Source organism: Homo sapiens, chromosome 7 (genome assembly GCF_000001405.40).
Source record: "Homo sapiens chromosome 7, GRCh38.p14 Primary Assembly".
Lineage (NCBI taxonomy): Eukaryota > Metazoa > Chordata > Mammalia > Primates > Hominidae > Homo > Homo sapiens.
In genome coordinates this window covers 52,760,212-52,780,821 of record NC_000007.14, presented here as the reverse complement: position 1 = coordinate 52,780,821, position 20,610 = coordinate 52,760,212, and the positions used below count along the sequence as shown (strand labels likewise).

General features: G+C 35.7%; 1 long non-coding RNA gene across 2 annotated transcripts; it reads right to left on the bottom strand.

Moving 5' to 3' along the window:
* Window positions 1-5,965: 5,965 nt before the first annotated feature.
* Window positions 5,966-9,432, bottom strand: LOC101928257 (uncharacterized). Of its 2 annotated transcripts, none has more exons than XR_246513.4 (3): window positions 9,405-9,432; window positions 7,667-7,723; window positions 5,966-6,159 (listed from the first exon to the last, which is right to left on the bottom strand). It is a non-coding gene; the product is annotated as an uncharacterized LOC101928257 (long non-coding RNA). The 2 variants fall into 2 exon arrangements; XR_927264.2 differs by lacking the exon at window positions 9,405-9,432 and adding an exon at window positions 8,019-8,088.
* Window positions 9,433-20,610: the final 11,178 nt, after the last annotated feature.

The following is a 20,610-nucleotide window of genomic DNA, read 5'->3' as shown; positions in this document are numbered from 1 at the left end:
ACTAGAATGATGCCATCAGCAGTCCTGGGTCTCTAGCTTTCCAGCTGCAGATTCAGGACATCTCAGCCTCCATAATTCATGTATATTACTAGTATATTACTAGTTCTGTTTTTCTGGTGAAATCTGACTAATGCAGATCAGTTTGTCAATTTCTGCAAAAAAAGCCCGTTGAGATTTTGATAGACAGTACGTTAAATCCATATTCATCATCATAATGATCATCTTCTTTGGTTATAGAATTTTGGGTTGAGAGTATTTGTTTTTCTTTTTAGTGTTTCTTCCTCCCAGCAATTCAAATATATTATTTCCTAATTTTATGGCTTTCACTGTTTTTGTTGAGAGGGCAGTTGCCAATCTTATACTTAGTCATTTGAAATTAGCTTCTCTTTTTTAAAAATTCCCACTTACTATGTCTAGAAATATTGTTTCTGCCCCAGGCTTTCTCTTGCCTCTTTTTCAGGGACCTCAATTGCATGTGCACTGGACTTCTTCACTGTGTTCTCTGTGTTTTTCATGTGATTTTCTACATTTTCATCTTCTTTACCTCTCCATTTTTTATTCTGGATATTTTCTGTCTTTGCCTATGTCTAATCTTTGTCCATGTCTAATCTTTGTCCAGCTTCATCCACTGAATTCTAGTTCTAGAATTTAAATAACTTCTTTTATAGTTCCCAGTTCTCTGCTGAAAGTCTTGTCTTTTATTTCCTTGCATATATTTTTCATAGCTACAGTAAAGCCTATATCTGATAACTCTATTATCTGCATTCCCTGCCTGTCTATTTCTACTGTTTGTTATTTTTCTTTGCAAAATAACATTATTTTTCACATTATCTTGTATCACATTACTTTGTCTCCTCATATATTGATTATTTCTCTTTCAGTTCCAGACATTGTATTTGAATAATTATAAAAATAATGTTAAGCTTAAATTAATATTATCTTCCTCTGAGATTGATTCATATTTGCTTCTGGAAAGAAGCTAGGGGATTAGTAATCCCATATGGCCTTGATCTAGTCATAGATTGAGATGATCCAAAGCTGGTTTTCAGTCCCTGCTATGACCAGTCTATTTATGAATTACTATCACTCCTGTTATTACCCAATGGGCTCTTTTTGCCTACTGTAAAGATAAAGTCAATTCACTGAGACAGCAATATTACAATAGAGAAAGAGTGTAATAATCTCAGGGCTATCCAAGTAAAAGGATGGGTGTAATTATTACTCAAATAAGTCTCCTCAAAACCTCAGAGGCTAGGGTTTATCAAGGATAGTTTGGCAGGCAGTAGGCTAGGGAATGGAGAATGCTGATTGGTTGGATCAGGGATAAAATTATAGCGGGTCAAAGCTGCCTTCTTGGGCTGAGTCAGTTCCTGGGTGGTGGGTCACAAAACCAGATGAGCCCATTTCTTAGCATTGGCTACTGGTTCAGGTGGACCACCAGCTAGTCCATCAAAATGCAGGGTCTAGAAAATACCTCTAATACCAACCTTAGGTTTTACAACAGTGATGTCATCTATAGGAGCAATTGGGAAGGTTACAAATCTTGTAACCTCTGGCTGCATGACTCCTGAACTATAATTCTACACTTGTTGCTAATTTTAGTTTTACACAGGTGGTTTTGATCCCTGAGCAAGGAGGCAGTTAGTTTCAGGAAGGAGCTGTTATCATCTTTGTTTTAAAGTTAAATTGTAAACTAAATTCCTCCTATAGTTAGCTTGGCTTATGCCCAGGAATGAACAAGGGCAGCTTGGAGGTTAGAAGCAGGACAGAGCCAGTTATGTCAGATTCATTTCACTGTCATAATTTTTATGTCAGATTTCTCTGACTATCGTAATTTTTGCAAGAGCAGTTTCACCCCTAGGTTGTAGCACTTTGAGATCCCAACCCAAATCCTGGGCAAGGAGGTTTGTAGGGCCTTGTTTAGCAGACTCTGAGCAAAATACTCTTATTCACAGCTTCTTAGTCTTCCAAACTTACGTTAACTTTTGTGAATTTAGATTACATCTCTAGGGGAGAAGCAGTCCTCAACACTGGGCTCACTTTCTGTGAGATTTCATCTCTGAAATCTTAGCCGTATAGTTATGCCTGTCTTCAGGCATATAGTTATGACCTCTCCAATGTCTTCAGATCTTTTTTTTTTTCATATTTCCTAATTTTTTGGCTTCTTTCTGAATTCTTCTTGGAGAAAAGATTCATTTTAAAGGACAGCAACTGTTCCCTCCTTCATGCAGGAGAAGAGGAAGCTACTCCGACATACTAACCACCTCCATAACAGCTCCAGAAAAACCACTGATCCCTGCCGTGGGTTGGAAAGACAGGCCCACTGTCTTTGGGGTATGTGAAGATTGAATGAGAGAACCTAGACAAAGTGTTTGATAAGTTATTGTTTCTTTGATCTTTTCCTTTTCCAAGTTCTTGATAAGAAATGCTTGATAAGTTTTGTAATGATCACACTTCTCTCTTTGCTCCAGCCTCCAGAAAGGTCAGAGCCATATTTTGATACTTCTACCAACTTATGATTTAGAACCTTATAATATATCCTTTGTGGAACATTCTTAGCTCAATTTCATTGTATTGTATGTATTCCAAGTGTTTCATCTATTTTCCTTAACTTTTGTTTTATTGCATGTGTCTATATAAGCCACTCTCAATCATTTTCATGGGAGGTGGAACATAAAGAAGCTAATTAAGTAATTTAAATAAAAGTATCTAGATAAAAAAATACAAATAAATTATATTTATTTTTGCATTTTTAAAATACACTGAACTCAAGACAAGGTAGATATTTTAAGCTAATGCCCATATGTTTGCATAAAGCACATTTTAATTTGTTACCTAATAAACTTTTTTCAGATACTGAGCATAATATTGCACAGTATCTGAAAAAAGTTTATTAGGTAACAATTACTTTTTATACACAATTTGTTCCGTGCCAGTATTTTTATCTAGGTATTTAAATATTTCAGTTGTTTTTTAGATTTATGGACTCTTTCAGTATATCTCAGTGTGTATTTAACCTATGTGACCAGAACTGAAATACTAAATCCAAAACTACCTGTTTTCTGATTTATGAATAACCAAAACTACTTATCATTCATCCGCCACTCCTAATCTCCCCTCTTTTCTGCATGGTGCAGTCTCCTTGCCTGTCTGTTTATTGTCTGTGGGTACAGTCTTCCCTATTATTTTATCATTCCTCTCGATCTTATCTATTCTCCACTGTCCCCCAAATCAAACCCTGCTGCATAAGATGCTGACATTTCCTTGTGATATCCTGCCACATCTGCCTCTTTATTTCTCTCCAACGTATCATGAGTTATCATGCAGGTTTTTATTTTATTTTATATAAAAAATAAGCTTTATGAAAATGAAAAGCTTTCCCACACTGTGCCTGGAGAGGAGGGTGCAGGGCAATCCATGCCAGTTGCAGGCTGCTGGGGAGCTGCTCATGGAGAGCCCTGGATCCAGTGCAGCCTGCACCTCACAGAGCTCGTCATTGTTTAAGGAAACTAGAGAGACTTAGAAAAATACCTGGGACACAATTCTGCACATGAGACATAGCATCAGAAGCAAGTATGTGAGTGCGCCAAGGTAGAACAGCTCATTCTGAGAACAGGGAAGTACTGAAAGGAAAATAAATTAGAGTAAATTCCAGGAGGATTCAGAATTTGAGTTGGACTCATAGAACTAGATAAAAAGCAGAAAGGACTATCAGAATAAAGCCACAGGTGCTGGAAGGCACAGGGCAGAGAAGAGCTCATTCTAGGTAAGGAATGGCGAGACATGATATTGAAAATGTGGGGTGGGTTTTCAGTAGAAAGCCTGAAAGACAGGCGGAGAAGTCAGGTTTCATTTGGCAGAAAATGAAGAAGTTTTTTCATGTGAAGTGAAGTGACACGATTGGGGGTTTTCTTCTAGGGAGCTCAACAGGCTGTTTTTGGGTGCTTCTCTGCCAGTTTCTGAGTGCACAGATTGAGTGCAATAGAACCATTAGAGACACATTGTAGTAGTCTCAAATAAAATGAGAAAGGAGCATGATAGACGAGGAGAAGTGGGAATGGAAGAAAAATGTAATAATCTCAAAGTAAATAAGGGAACTTGAAAGAATGGGAGAATTAGGAATGGAAAAAAAAGCCAAGTCTCTCTCCTTTTTTTTTTTTGAAACTATGACTTTTATATCATTTTTGTTCTATTCATTGACATCCACATAAAAGTTTATACTATGCATTCAGTAAGGATTATTTTCAAGCAGATCTAAATTAATAAAATAATTTCCAATAAAAAGTTGTCAGTGGCTAAGTTTTTCTTCCAAGTTTTGATCCATGGCCTTGAAAACAATGGTGACTTGTCTTATCATTTAAAAAGTGGCTTCCTTGTATTTCTTTGAGGTACAGGGAAGATAAAAGTAAGTGTGAAATGCCAAGAATGGTCAGTAATTTAAAGTGTTTCAGTGTATACACACTTATGAAGTATATTTCAGCTAAAAATGAAATAAAATTATTCTTTCTAGCCTTTTCAGGCCAACATGTGACATAGAAATCTAGACGCAAAGGGAGATCTTCAGAAATCTAGATGTTGTTTATAGAAAATCATGTTCTGTCCTTATTTATTTTGAACCAGCTTATCTTTCTTTTCAGGCTTGTTCTACTTAGGTTCATCTATCATACAGGACCATCTTTTAGTGTGATTGGTTTTGTTTGTTTGAGCTTGCCTTTAGCTTGGACACTTGGCCGAGATTCTTTCCATTCTGGCTTGGATTAAAGAAAATAGTCTCCCTACTGAGATCTGATTTTGAGCCTGGGTCAACTGGCTGGTACTCCAGCCAAAACAGTTTTAATAACTGTTGAATTTCAAATAAAAAGTGAGACTATTCCCAGACCAGTTAGAGAGTATGCCTTCTGGGTGTAGTAAATGAAACTATGCTACTGAATTTGGTTAATATATTTGAAAATGTTTAAGTTTTACATAATGCATACAGCTGTGCTCAGTTTACGACTATTAAGATGAGGTGATATTTTGGCTTGTAAAGTATATGAAAATTGTAAAACAAATGGTCCCCCCAAAATATTATGTACATTCTTTAGACTGATACAAAATGCAGTGTTGATCACACAACAGTAGCTTAGTAAATGTTTAGTGAATGAATAGATCAATGGATGTAATATCTCTTCCCCCAAATTTGTCTCGCTTGAAACACAAAGGAACAAACAAAAACTGTCTTGCCACCACACCATGTTACCTACATGCTGCAAAATGGAACAAAGATATAGGATTCTCTTAGGGATTCCCAGGTCTGATTTCCCCCATGACTTCCCGTCCTATTTCTTTGTCACTGAATAAACAGTCTTCTCTTCCTTTAAAACAATACTTAATAATTACGTGTCTTTAAAAGTATCCTAAATATTTCCATTTTATTTATCTTTTCTATTTTCATTTACCCACTATCTCTAGCATCTCAGAAAATGTTCAAAAGGAGATAACCTTATTTAAAAAATCAGTTATGTGATTACAAAATCACTGTTATAGGATTACAATAAAGACTCATCATCTTTTGGGCCACTCTTCTTCCTAAAAAACAAAACAAAACAAAACACACACACCACACAGACAAAATTGAAGTTTACATGGAATGCCTCTAAGTTCCTTCTCTGGTTTGAAATTACAGCTTGATAATTAAAGTAAAGTTAACATGGTTTGAGACTAATTTAGAATTTTAATTTTTATTATTGTTATTTTAATTAATTACCCCATTATACAGCAATTATCTTAAGATTTTTCAGTGGTAGTTTACAAAAACACAACATGAGATGCATACAAATCAAAAGTTTTCTTAATGAGGGACATCAAGTTTTTTCTTATTTTTAAAATATATTATAAATGAAATTAATTCAAGGACAGAACTTAAAGTAAATGTGAGGACATACTATGTTTAGAGCAAGAAAAATAAACGTTTACCAAAATGTGCTTCACTGTTATTTGTTTAATCTGTAATGACTTTAAAGAGTGATTATGCTGGTTCTTTCATAGCATGTGTAGAAGTGGTACCACTGTTGCAGCAATTGAGTTATGACAGAGATGACTGAGTGATGAATGAGTGCCTTCTATAACCATTATTTACTTTCATGATAAGTACCAGGTAGATAAAGAAGAAACCAGCTCCTAGAATGAAAGCAAAATTGAAAAAAATTCAATTATATCATATACCAGAAAAGAAGTACAGTTATGTGTACACATTCTTTTTCTGTTATTTTTATTTTTGAAAGTTCAATCACAAAATATTTTTAAATAAATCTCTTAATTTTTCCCAAATTGCAGACATTTTAGCATCTAACTGGAACACTCTTGAGACAAAAGAGATTGGAAAGTTGACAAAAGAGAAAGTGTAATAAAGAAATTCTAACAAACAGGAGTTTAATGTACATACTTTTCCCATTATTAAAAAAATAAAATAAATAAAAAGAAGAAGTTGTCACAGGAAATTTTGCAAAGAACAGCAATTACAAGTCCAAAATGCCCCTTTTTCCCTCTGTTTTTTAAGGTTTTCTTTTTCTTTTCTTTTTTTTTTTTTTTGAGATAGATTTTCGCTGTTGTCTCTCAGGCAGGATGGAGTGCAAAGGCATGTTCTCAGATCACTGCAAATTCTGCCTCCCGGGTTCAAGTGATTCTCCTGTCTCAGCTTCCCATGTAGCTGGGATTACAGGCATGCGCCAGCCTCCCAAGTAGCTTGGATTATAGGCATGCACCACCACACTTGGCTATTTTTTCTATTTTTAGTAAAGACAGGTTTTCACCATGTTTGCCAGGCTGGTCTCTAACTCCTGACCTCAGCTGATCCACCCTCCTCCGTCTCCCAAAGTGCTTGGCAAGGTTTTCTTTAAAAAGCTGTGCTACTACATTTGTCAGATCTCTCTGTGGATAAACATTGTTGTGGGCATAATTCTGGAATGCTCCCCTGTGACTCACACCCTTGTGGACTCCCCTGCCCAGGAAGGTGTACCTGACTGGGTTGGTCTGGGGTCCTGAGAACAACATGCAATGTCACTCTTGTAATTATGCACAGGATACGGCAAAAGTGGAGGCACTACAAGGTGCAGGATACCTAATCATTTGGTTTTGAATCAATCTAAGAAAGATAATCTTGGGTGGACCTGATCGATGCAAGTGAGTCTTTTAAAAGAGGGCTTCCTTTCCTGATGTCAGAAACTCAAAGCAGTAGAGGCTTTCCACTGCAGCTTAGAAGAAGCCAAAATGAACTCTACAGCTTCCAGGAAATGAATTCTGACAATATTTATGTGAGCCTAGAATCCCGAGCCTTAGATGAGATTGCAGCCCCACCTAACACCTTAATTGCATCTGTGAGACCCCGTTAGAGGACCCAGTTAAGCCATAGTCAGATGCCTGGTACGTAGAAAATATGAGAATATAAAATAGGCTATTTAAGCCTCTAAGTTTGTGGTAATCAGTTATCCAGCAAAAGAAATCTACACATAAACAAAGAAACATATAAGTCATTTGCTCATTTGTTTCAAATTTTAGGCACCCTTACAGGAATTAATTTCTTCAGAATTCATATTACATAAAACATAATTTTCTGCAGGTTAAATAAAATACTACATGCAGCAGTAGAGATGAATTCATAATCATTAGTACAAGGTGTTTCTCTTACCCAAACCTTCTCTGTCAAGCAAAACTTCTTTCTATGTTCATTGCCAGAAAACATAGCCTAAGGAGTGAAAAATATTCTTGAATCCACATTTTGTCTTTTGAAAATACTATATACTAAAAAATTCTAGCATGCATATTGGTCACAGACTTTTGACTTTTAGGACATCAACAAAGTGACTTGTTCTAACACACCACATTTTCAGTAAGATAGAAAGAATATCTTGTAAACTCCAGGAGTTATAAATTATATGTGTGCATTTTGGGGAGAGGATGTTCACAGGCTTAATTAGATAACCAGTGGGGTTTTCTCAGGGGGAAATTTAACATTCACACTCTACACCCCAAAAAGTCACCTTTTCATCTCCAGGGCCCAGCAGGTCCTCTGATTATAATAGAAGTCACAGTGTATGTGCTGGATCGTAAGTGATAAAGGAAACATTTAGCAAATTTGCATCTGCTTCTTGAATGTCAACTATCAGGAAATTCCATCCACAATGTTTTCTTTTTCTTAATTTCTTAGAACATTTATTTTATCTAAGTGACAATTTTATTCATATCTTCTTTGATCATCTTAATGTTTTTCAATTACTTAAAGTTATTAAAAATTCAGAGAATATGGTATCTTTTGTCTCTTGCTCCATTATTAGTACTTGAAATTTTTCTGCCCACTTATTTTTGATTCTAATCTTATCTCTTCTAAATGTACAACTATTAGGCCTGATATCAGCATCTAATGCTGCTTTTGCTTTTCATTTCAAGAGGTCTTCTTGCTGGGAAAGCAATAACAGAAAGAATAATTTGCTGAAAAGCAGAATTGGGTTTGACTCCTACACGGTTTGACATTTAACCAGTTGCTTGACTCTAGGCATTTAATTTAACTCCCCTAAGTCTTAGTTTCCTCATCTCTAAAGTGCAGATAATAACAACACTTCTGCAGGTGGATGAAGGATGAGGGAACATTGATGTAAAATGCTTCCCTAGCGGCTAATACCCCATTTAGTTGGATGACCCTAAACGTCAGGATTTTTTTCTTATCTAATATTCTATCACCAAAACACTGCCTGCCACGTAATGGTTATTGGGTGAATAATCAGAGGATTTTAATCTTAAAATGTTCAATAGGTTCCTGTCTCCTGTCTGCATCCTCAATGTTGTCAGTAGCAGGAATTTCTCTACTCTCATTATTTCATAATCCAAAACTCCTCTCTCTGGCCACAGCCTTTCACATTTCAGGATTTGGCCCGCTTATTTGATTTGTCCCTCATCTCACCTGTCCCCTGACTTATTATCCCTAAATCTGCCACCTGACAGGCAGGCGACCGCAAGCCTGGTTCCCACCTTCCCTGCTCTGCTGTCTGTAATGCGATGGCTTTGCCGTAATTTCAACTGCTGCAGACATTCGTTTATTTTTCTGCAGATACAGTCTGGAATAGTCCATCTATTTTCATAAAAGAAGATTTCCATTTCCTTCCCTTTTGCTACCAGACTACCTTGCACTGGAAACAAGGTCACATCAATGAAAAGTAGTTTAAGTAGAAGATCATATCTAGTAACCTAAGGCCCTTAATGTTTGTTGTGTAACAGTTTCTACACAACATTCATTTCTATGCAAGAATTACAAATGGAAACTATTAGCTCTACATTTTTTAACCTATCTGATTGACACTGAATGAATAATCAGTCATTCTGTGAAGGCTAAAAAGTCTTCATTTAGATAAACTGGACATCTCCCAAGCTACCTGTCATCTGGCACGGAGTAGGCATGGCCTGTTGTTGACGTCATCACACAGGGACGTGAACGCATGCAGAGCCTGATGCCATTTTTGATGTGACTCCCCATGCCCTTCTCATCTTCTTATTGTGCTTCACCATCTGAGCAGTTGATAAGAATGTCCCAGTGCTCTCTCCTTTGACACCAGTGAAAAGTTCAAATCACACAACCTCCTGCCACCACTTACATGAAAACGCTCACCCCAGCCCTAGCCCCTAAACCAACATAAACACCCCAAACCACCCTCCTTTCTCTGCCCTTTCAAGCCATTTTCAGACAAGCTTGGAAGATAATGCCCTCTTTTCTTCAGAAAACCTCATTATGTAAGATATAAAAATTTTCATGCCCTCTAGGTGGGTGTGTGGCTTCATTAATCTCAACATCTGAACCAAATTTTGGGTGGGAATATTTTGCTCTGTTTTGAGTAGTCATTACAGCATTTGTACATAATTTAAATTCAATTATTAATTATGACAGTTAAAAACAATGCCTAGAATTTTAAACTCGTATTACATGCACAATATTTTGTAGGCATTGAAAACAAAGCATACATTTCCCGGAAAACTTTTTGATCAAAAACCTAAATAAACTTGATTTAAGTAAAAAGGATCGTTCATTGGAATGGCAAAGTTTCTGAAACAAATTAGAGTGTGTGCATCCACTTGTGTATCTGTTGTGAATGAAAGACAAAAGGGAATGAATGCTAAATGTAATTTAAAATAGAAGTGAAAATCATTACAATAAGAATAGCTTTAAAAATTTTTGCTTTCTTTTTTCCTCACAACCAAATATGAAGGAACTTTCAATTTGCAAGACATTTAATTTCTATGATTTCCCTTAATTAGTATTCTAGTAATTCATGACAAGCTAGACATGGTAGACAAATGCTTTTCCTGTGTTTTGGTAGTCAGATGTGTCTTGTTTACCACAGTGCATGTTGCATGATTTGAATATCATCTTCTTCTATTGGCACCTGAGAATATAGAACCTGTTTTGGTAGATTTATTGACAAATTTTAGCATTTTGTCCGGAGTACATAGAGTCTAATTTATATCACATGCCCTTAGATAGAACTGAAATTAATAAATGCTGATCTGAATGCAAGTGTTTCACCTGAGTTACTGTGAAAGTCAGGAGACTTTAGAACTTCATTAACAGCTTCATTGAAGTATAATGACATATAATAAAGTGGACATATTCAAAGTATCTAAGTTCATAAATTTTGACATACATATACATCTATAAATCCATCACCACAATCAAACTAATGAACATTTTCATCAGGCAGAACATTTCCTTGTGCCCCTTACTAATCCTCACTCCTCCACGTCGGGTCACCACCATCCCCAGGCAATTACCAGTCTGCTTTCTGTTACTATAGATTAGCTGGCCTTTTCTAGAAGTTTATACAAATAAAAACATACACTATGGAATCTTTTTTGTTTCACTTCTTTCACTCAGCACAATTATTGTGAGACTCATCCATGTTGTTTCAAGGATCAATAGCTGATTCCTTTTCACTGCTAAGCAGTTTTGGAAAATGTGGACATAATACAATATGTTTATCATTTATGTGTTAATGGACATTTAAATTGTTTACAGTTTTGTGCCATAATGGCTAGTACTGCTAAGAACACTTTGTACAACTTTTTCATTTGTCTTCGTTAAACATCTAGGAATGGAATGTCTGTGTCATTTTGTAGGTGAATGTTTAACTTTTTAAGAAACTGAGGACCGGGTGCAGTGGCTCACACCTGTAATCCCAGCACTTAGGAGGCCAAGGCAGGTGCATCACAAGGTCAGGAGTTTGAGACCAGCCTGGCCATCATAGTAAAACCCCGTCTCTACTAAAAATACAAAAATTAGCTGGGCATGGTGGCAGGCGCCTGTCATCCCAGCTACTCAGGAGGCAGAGGCAGAATTGCTTGAACCCAGGAGGCAGAGGTTGCAGTGGGTCAAGATTGTGCCACTGCACTCCAACCTGAGAGACAGAGTGAGACTCCATCTTAAAAAACAAACAAACAAACAAAAGAAATGAAAAAAGAAACTGACAAACTATTTTCCAAAGTGATTTTAACATTTGATATTGCTATCTCCTGTGCATGGGTGCTAAAATTTATCTCCACACTTTTAAATCCATGTGTTTTTAATTTTAGCCATTATAGTATCTGCGTAGTGTCATCTAATTGCAGTTTTAATTTGCATTTCCCCAATAACTAATGATTTTTTCACATGCTCGTATGCCATCTGTATGTTTCTTTGGTGAAGTCTGTTCAAACCTTTTGATGACTTTTATTGGGTTTATTTCTTATTGATTTTTAGAGGTTTTATATATTTTAGATACAGATATTTAATCACATGTATGATTCGCAAATATTTTCTCCTATGCTGAGGTTTGTGTTTTTGTTTTCTTAACGGTGCTTCCAAAGAACCAAAGGTTTTAATTTTGATGTAGTCCAAACTATAAATTTGTTATATCTTGAATCATGTTTTAAAACACATCATATTCTATGTGTTCTATGTCTAATCCTAGATCACAAAGATTTTATTCTAAACATTTCATAGTTTCAGGCTCTATATTTAGGTCTATGGTGCATATTTTTTTGTTTGTTTGTTTGTTTGTTTTCGTATTGCACTAAGTATGTGGTCATGATTTTTTTTTTTTTTTGCAAATGTGTGTGAAAATTTTCCAGTAACATTTGTTGAAAAGCATATTCTTTCTCCACCCAATTATTTTTGTACCTTTATTAAAAATCAGTTTTACATACATGTGTGCGTCTACATTTGGACTTAATTTTTTTCCATTGATTCATTTCAGTAATTTTATGTTAATATCACGTTATTGATAACTGTAAGATTATATTAAATTGTGAAGTACTGTAATGTTATTCTTCCAATTTTGTTTCTTTCTAAAATTTGTTTTGGTTATTTAAAGTATTTTGCATTTCCATGTGATATTTATAATCAGTTTACCAATTTCTATGAGATAAATTCTGCTGATAATTTAATTGCTATTTTGTTGAAGCTATAGATCAATTTGGTGAGAAATGGTATCTTAACTGCTTTGATTCTACGACTCATGTGCCAATGTGCTCCTCCATTTATTTAAGCCTTCTTTAAATTATCTCAGACTTCTTGTACATCTTTTTGCCAAATAAAACTAATATCCCTAAGAGTTTTATATTTTGATAGTATTGTAAATGGCCTAAAATATTTAGTAGCCAATTATTTTGGTGTTAACATATAGAAATACTATTGGCTTTAATATACTTATCTTTAATGATATAAACTTGCTAAATTTTTTATCATTTATACATCTTTTTGTGGATTACATATGTTTCCCTGCACTGAGAGGAATGTTTCTCTGAATAAAGTCAGCCTTTCTTTTTGCAACAATGTTACAAGGAAACAAAGAGAAATATGAATATACTGCGTTTCATTGCCAATGTTTTTATTAAACCCAGATAAATGCTGGTTTATTAGCTACTGTTTTTATTATCATATGATGCACAATTTCAGATCTACCACTATTTTAGATTATAGTTAAAGTATCTGTTCATTACCTAAAATTGTGTTTAACTAATGCAGGTATGATATAAGCCCCTTAGGCAACACCTAGACAAGAGTATTGACATATATACTACATTGTTAGCCAATGTGTTTAGCGCTCTTGACTTGAGATCTTTGTGCAACACTGACTAGGTCTACTTCAACAATTAATGTGTCCATAATATCATCTTACATACGTGTTATTTAGTGTGGCCAGTCCACTTACCATGGGATATGAGCTCAGAAAAGCCAAAGCTGAAAACTGCTCCATGCTATTTTTCTTTTCCTGGAAACTGAGAAATATATCTCCTACCCCACAGGGTTGTTTGGAGAATGTCACAAGATGATATATGAAAAGAACCTAAGTCATAATAGTATTCAATCAATGAACCCTTCCATTTCACTCTGCTAAAGATAATCACCATCAATTCAGCAGTGGGCTTGGCCTCCTTCAGTTAGCTAAGGCTAAATTACAGTTTCTCCTATTTAAATTCCAGACACAACATTTAGATACTGCCAAGCATAAAATATTCTTTAAAAAAAAAGGAAGGAAAAGCACCATAAATATGGTGGGAAAAGATTGGTTATTGCCATCATGAAAAGCAGAAAATAAGCACCCTATATAGTTCATAAACAAAAGCAAACATCCAAGGTTGTGAGCATTTCAGGCTGTTATTTGTGTGTACTTGTTGCCACAATTCAGAAGTGTACAGCCACCCTCAACTCCTGTTTTCATTATTGTTTGCTTCATCTTCTAGTTTACTGCCTCTTATTTTATAAATACAAGCAAAGAAACAAAGAGAAGCTGTGGGAAGATTGATTAATATTTTTATTTCAAGATGATAAATTAGAAGAAAATTCATTTTATCAATGTATACTGCTGATCATAATGTTCTTATTCTTTAATGCTAAATTTTTAAAGTTATTTATCATTTCATCATATATTATACTCCTACTAGTATTCTTATAGTTATTGTATGTACATTTTGTACATTTAACAAACGTATAAAAAATTAAATTATTTAAAATTAATTATTAAATTAATTAAAATTGAACCCAAAGCTCCAATTATTTATATTTTCCACCCTTTTTTAGGTTCTTTTGTATACACATAAACATTTAAAGCAGCACTAATATTTAGTGCTTTACTTAGCACACTTAAGGTTAACACTGTCTACCTACATGGAATTTTTATGTACAGTATTTTTTTTATTTTTATCTTGCTCCAATGTGGAGGAATTTGAGCTTTTTTTTTTTTTTTTTTGAGATGTTGTCTTACTCTGTTGCCCAGGATGGAGTGCAGTGGCACGATCTCGGCTCACTGCAACCTCCGCCTCCTGGGTACAAGTGATTCTGCTGCCTCAGCCGCCCCAGCAGCTGGGACTACAGGCATGTGCCACCACGCCCGGCTCATTGTTTGTATTTTTAGTAGAAATGGGGTTTCACTGTGTTAACCAGGATTGTCTCGATCTCCTGACCTCATGATCCACCCACCTCGGCCTCCCCAAGTGCTGGGATTACAGGCATGAGCGAACATGCCCAGCCAACACATGTTTGTTAATGCATGATATCGTATGTACTATTTATAATGTGACAACATGTTATAGTTATGGAGTCTTGTCAATAGATACTCTTACTGAACACTATTTTCATAGATGTATGGTATTTCATTTTATGTAGTGTCTTCGTTTGTTAGCTATTTATATATGACATTATTAAATTACACAAATTTGAGGTAGTATAAATTGTGATTCAGTGAAAATTAATATCTAAATTAATACCTATGGATATTTGCATATATCCTTGATTAATTCCTTAGGGTAAATGGTTGTGTAAAATGGCTAAACTTTGTTGTAGTAGTGTTTTTCTTAGCAATTAAAATAGCACCACAATATCTCCAATATGTGCCCTGAGAAAGCCTTATATTGGCACACTCTGTTTTCTGAAACACAGAAGGCAGAAGGATTAATGGAAAAGTACTGCTTGCCCATTGCTTATTAGATTTGTCTGAAGTGGAAGCAGATCTCTATGTGTAACATGATGTTTATTGGTAAACATGGGCAATCATAACAAAATACCATATACCGTGTGCTTAAACATGAGAAATTCATTTTCTCCCAGTTCTGGCGGGTGGAAAGTCCAAGATCAAGGTCCAGAAAGGTTCAGTTTCTGATCAGGGCTGCCTTTCTGGCTTGCAGACAGTCTCCTTTCTCCTGTGCCCTCACATGGTAGAAAGAATGAGGGAAAGCTGCCTCTTTCTCTTTTTTATAAGGTCAAAGTTCTAAAGGATTAAGGTTTCATTCATATTACCTCATTTAACTTTAATTATCTCTTAAAGACCCCATCTCTAGATACAATCACACTGGGAGTTAGGGCTACAACATAAGAATTTTGAGGGGGTCGCAATTCAGTCCACAACATTCTAACCCTGGCCAACCAAAATTTGTGCTGTTATCACATGCAAACTACATTGATTCCAGCTCAATTCGGAAATCTAAGTCGAAATCTCACCTAAATATTGTCTAAATCAGATATGAATGGGACTCAAGGTATGGTTAATTCTGAGGAAAAATGTCTCTCCATCTGTGAGCCTATGCAATCAGACAAGTTACATCCTTCCAAAATACAACAGTGGCACATGCTTAAGACAATCTCATTCCAAAACAAAAAAGTCAGAAGAAAGAAAAGAGTGACAGATGTCAAGCTAATCCAGAAGCCAGCAAGATAAATTCCATTAGATCTTAATGCTCAAGAATAATCCTCTTTGGTTCCATGTTTTACCTTCCAAATCCACTAGGGTAGCAATCCCATTTTCAGATCCTCTTGGGCAATGGTCCTGGCCCTGAAGCTTTGGTCAGAGGCTGTCTGGCTTGAGCAATTGAGACAATGACCTCACTTTTTGAAATGAAGGAGGCAGTCCTGACAATCACTGAATCACAGTTGTGATCATTCTTAACTTTTCTTAAAAAATAACATGTTCACAGCCAAATAAATATTCTATGGCCTGGTCCTTTTGTATCTAAGTCCAACAGCCTTCCTTCAGTCCATCCTGCTTTCTCCACACTTTTCAGATCAAACTGCCTGTGTTTTCTGCTGGTGTAATCCCATCTTTATTCTAGGCTTCTGGTGACATGTCTGATTAAGCTTATGAGTCACAGTGATGATTTCATTTAACCTTATTTACTTTGAAATCTCCCTATCTACATACAGTCATATTGAGGGTTAGGGCATTAACACATAAATTTTGGGTGGAGCTGGCACAATACAATCCATAGCATATGATGTTTATCTTTTCTTTAAATTGTGGTCCTCTGCAATCTTCTTAATGGGTCCTCTATGACAGAAGGCAGAAGTCAAGGACATTGAAACCTTGTTCCCATTACTTTCTGTCAATAGAATCATGAGCAATCACATAATCTCTATACAACCTAATTATTGCATTTCTCAAAAGTCATATTAAAATGGCTACATCATAGGGATATTGTGAGAAACAAATGAAATATATATAAGAACATTTAAATACATTACTTAATATCTTTTTAAAAATACTGCCTATCATTCCATATCTCCTCCTTTTGTGTCTTCTTTCTTTACAAGATCTGCCTTATAGTATATGAGAGATATACTAAATTAAATAATACATATCCAGAGAGATGTTTAGGATTTGTTCTCTGTCTTTTTTAAAATCATACTTCTTTCTAAAATAAGACACAAATTAAGAGAAGAATACAGAGAAGGTAAGGAATGTATCTAATGATTTTTAATACTACTTTTGAAACTTAAACATAATAAGTTATAAAAAGTATCATTTAAAATAAATTTGAATTGTATATTCAAATCAATATTATATTTTTGTAATAAGATGGAAAAAATTCCAAGTTCAGCAGTAATGTTACCATATATGCTGCAATCTCCTACCCCATGGACTCTCATTTACATGTTAAAAAAAAGCAATTAAGATGCTTTTATGCTATAGTTACCATCAAAGAACATCCTAGTATCCTTGATGAGATAAAGGAAATTGTGGAACCTAGAGTAGGGTGAATGAAATCATCCTGCCATCATTTTAAGGAATGTTTCCTGGAGAGATTAAAGATGGTAAGACATTCTGAGTTAGATGAGAATTTCACCTACTGAGAAAGCATCATGATGCTATGAGCAGTATGCTAAGGAGTTCTTGGCCTGGATAGGCCTCTCTCATTCCAGTATGAATTCACAAAAACATAAATCTAGATAAATAACTTACATATATCAGTTATTGTCTGCTGTATAACAAGCCACATAGAAGCCTGGTGCTCACAGTCCTTGTGGGTAGTAATGTGGGCTCTGTTTAGCTGATAAGGCTCATCGATGCTCCCCATGGTGCACACTGGGCACATTCATAGGTCTGCAGTCAGCTGGTGTCCATGGTCTCACATGTTGGGTGGCTGATGCATGGTTGGCAGGGGAAACGGAAGAAATTGGGCTAGGTGAGGCCAAGTGCTTAGCAGGTTAATCTAACTTGTTACCAGCATGGTGGTGGCAGAGTTATTGACTGCAGCAAGAGAAAATCCAAACTCCTATGTGCAAGGACTTTCATAGTCCCTACTTGAATCACCTTGGCTTTTGTTCTGTTGGCCAAAACTGGTCATATGTGAAGCCCAGAGTCAATGTGGGAGGAGACTGTTCAAGTATCCAAGGACTGGGATTCTGAGGGGGACACGAAAGTGTGTGGCGATTGTGACCATTTCTATAAAAAAGTCCACCAAACTGGCCGAGCACGGTGGCTCATGCCTGTAATCTTAGCACTTTGGCAGGCTGAGGTGGGTGGATGAACTGAGGTCAGGGGTTCAAGATCAGCCTGGCCAACATGGCAAAATCCCATCTCTACTAAAAATAGAAAAATTAGCCGGGAGTGGTGGCACATGCCTGTAATCCCAGCTACTCAGGAGGCTGAGGCAGGAGAATCGCTTGAACCCAGGAGGTAGAGGTTACAGTGAGCTGAGATCACACCACTGCATTCTGGGTGACAGAGTGAGACTCAGTCTCAAAAAAAATAATATAAAAGTCCACCAAACTATGTACTGATTGTGACTTACACGTACCCACCTTGGCAATTTTCACCATTAGAATAGAGTGGCTAGAATATATTCGCCACTCAGTGCATACATGTTAAATTGATAATAGAGTAACAATAAATTACTAACAAATTTATAATAACAACAGAGCTGGGCACTTTTCTAGTTGCTTACTATGTATTTTTCCCATTAATTCTCACAACAGCTCATCTTGGTGACATCCTTTATGATCATCATGGATAATCATGGGCATGCAGAGAGTAAATGGTATGACAACATTCATGCAACTAATGCATGTGGAGCCAGCATTCAAACCAACACAATTAGCACACATTACATTGTACCCTAAAAATTTATCCCTTGAAGAAAAAAGAAAAGAAATACAATAGAATAAAGGGAAAAGGCAGGAAGGCAGGCAGGAAGGCAGGAAGGCCGGAAGGCAGGCAGGCAGGAAGGAAGGAAGGAAAGAAGGAAGGAAAAGGAAAGGAAAGAATAAAAAAGGAAAGAAGGAAGAAAGGAAGTCTCACACATTCTAGAGACCTATATGATATCTAGTACACATGTAAGAAATAATCTCATGATAGGGCTGGGAATGCAATCCATGAACATTAAATTTTAGCTTATGGTATGGCAATTGAGCATGATACTAAATTAAAACTGCTCAAAATGTAGAAAGGCTAAAACTACTATTACCACCCATGTAACTCTCAAGATTGCTCAACAAGTTCAACATCCAGGAATTAGGACCCCAAAATACAGAACAAATATTTTATTGATGCTAAGTCTCAGAAACCTTTATTTCTGAGAACTCAAATATATAAATTATAATTTCCTTCCCAGGCTGTAGCATAGGCATTTAGCACACATAAGCACATACGCATCCCCCAACCGTCACATACATTTAATGGCCTATCTATATCTTTTAGCAAGACAGCCAATCACCCTCAAGCCCAAATGGAACAATTTCAGTCCTCCTTATTTCTGTTTCATATGAGTTTAAAAGCATCTAAACAATATCTCCCTGGTGAGCAAAGAATGCTTGATATATAATTGGTATGTGCAGTTGAGATTAGGACACTTACAAATTAAAACTAAGCCAAAGCAAATTTTTTCTCCAGGCTGTTATTGACAATAAAACTGGCATGGGATAGCAAAATTACTCAGGCTGCATGATGGGGATTATAAATCCCATGAGAAAGCTAAGATTTATAATTATTTTCTATAGTGTTGAACAGGAGGAAAACAACTTCACAAAATAACTGGTGCACACGCGAATGATACTCGCCATATGAAATGTTCAACTATTGTTCTAAATTCTAGTCAAAATGCTGAAGAATTTAATATTTTGATTTCTTTACAAACACACCGTCCTACTATATGGGTGTAGTTTCATTTTGTAGCAATGGGAGTCCCCCAGACACAGTGGTTCAGAGGCTCTGGAACCAGACTGCCTGAGTTCAAAGCCTGGTTTTCCTTCCCACTGGTGCTCTAGGATGAGTCTCAGCTGTCTCATTTTTATAAAGAAAGAAAAAAGAGCTTATCTCATGTATAGCTTAGAAAATCCATAAGATGTGCGTGAATGTACAGAGCTTGGGACATCAGAAACAATACATTTTGACTCTATTAACTATTGCAAGGGTCAATATGATTATATGAACTCCTATAATGTAAAATTTGGCATCATCTCATATGAATAAATAGGGGATTACCAAAATTTCTCTATATGTCACTAACATTTTAAAAATAATATTTTCTCTATGACTGAAAAACAAACCTTTCAAATTCTGCTTCTCTAAAAAATATGGATAGTGTTTTTTAAAGTCAAATGTATTACTAAAACATTTTAGGCATTTTGCTATGCAAGTTTTTTTTTTTCATTTATAACTGTGTTCTACAGTATTGAAATGTAGATTTTGAGTCAACTTGAAGCCTGAATTTAATTTAAGACTTTGTCCAATCAAATTACAGTATATAGAAATTGTAATTAAAATGGAATTGCTGCTAGTCTGTTGGGTTACAATGAAAACTTATAAATATTTGTACATAGCTAATATGTTACTTGACCCTGGTTTGTTTTCTTCTTCTCTCAAATTAAAATTTTCACAAAGAACTCTGCTACTTCTTGAACCAGTGACTCAAACAGCTGAACTCACGAGAAAAAGGGAAGGAGTCAGGAAAAAAATGTACCCTTGCTTTTTAAGTTTCCAGTCGAAACCAAAATGCTTCTGGGATCTGTAGTAAGTGTGTGTGTGTGTGTGTGTGTGTGTGTGCACGCGCACACGTGTGTGATTGATTGAAGAAAATCTACACACAACAGTATGCTCATCTTAGATGGATATGAAAAAATGAAACCCACAACTAGTGACTCCTTTAAGAATTGCTTAGTAGCTTCTTTTTTCCCCACATAATTTCATTTTGAAGAAAACTATATACAACTACAGTTATTCTGGGAAAGGATGTTATTAATGATGCTTGCAATAGAGTCTCAGTCTGGAAGAATAATTTCATTAGAAATGAAACAGAAGCCTGTAAAGTCAAATGCTGTTTTGCTGATTTTGAATTACAATG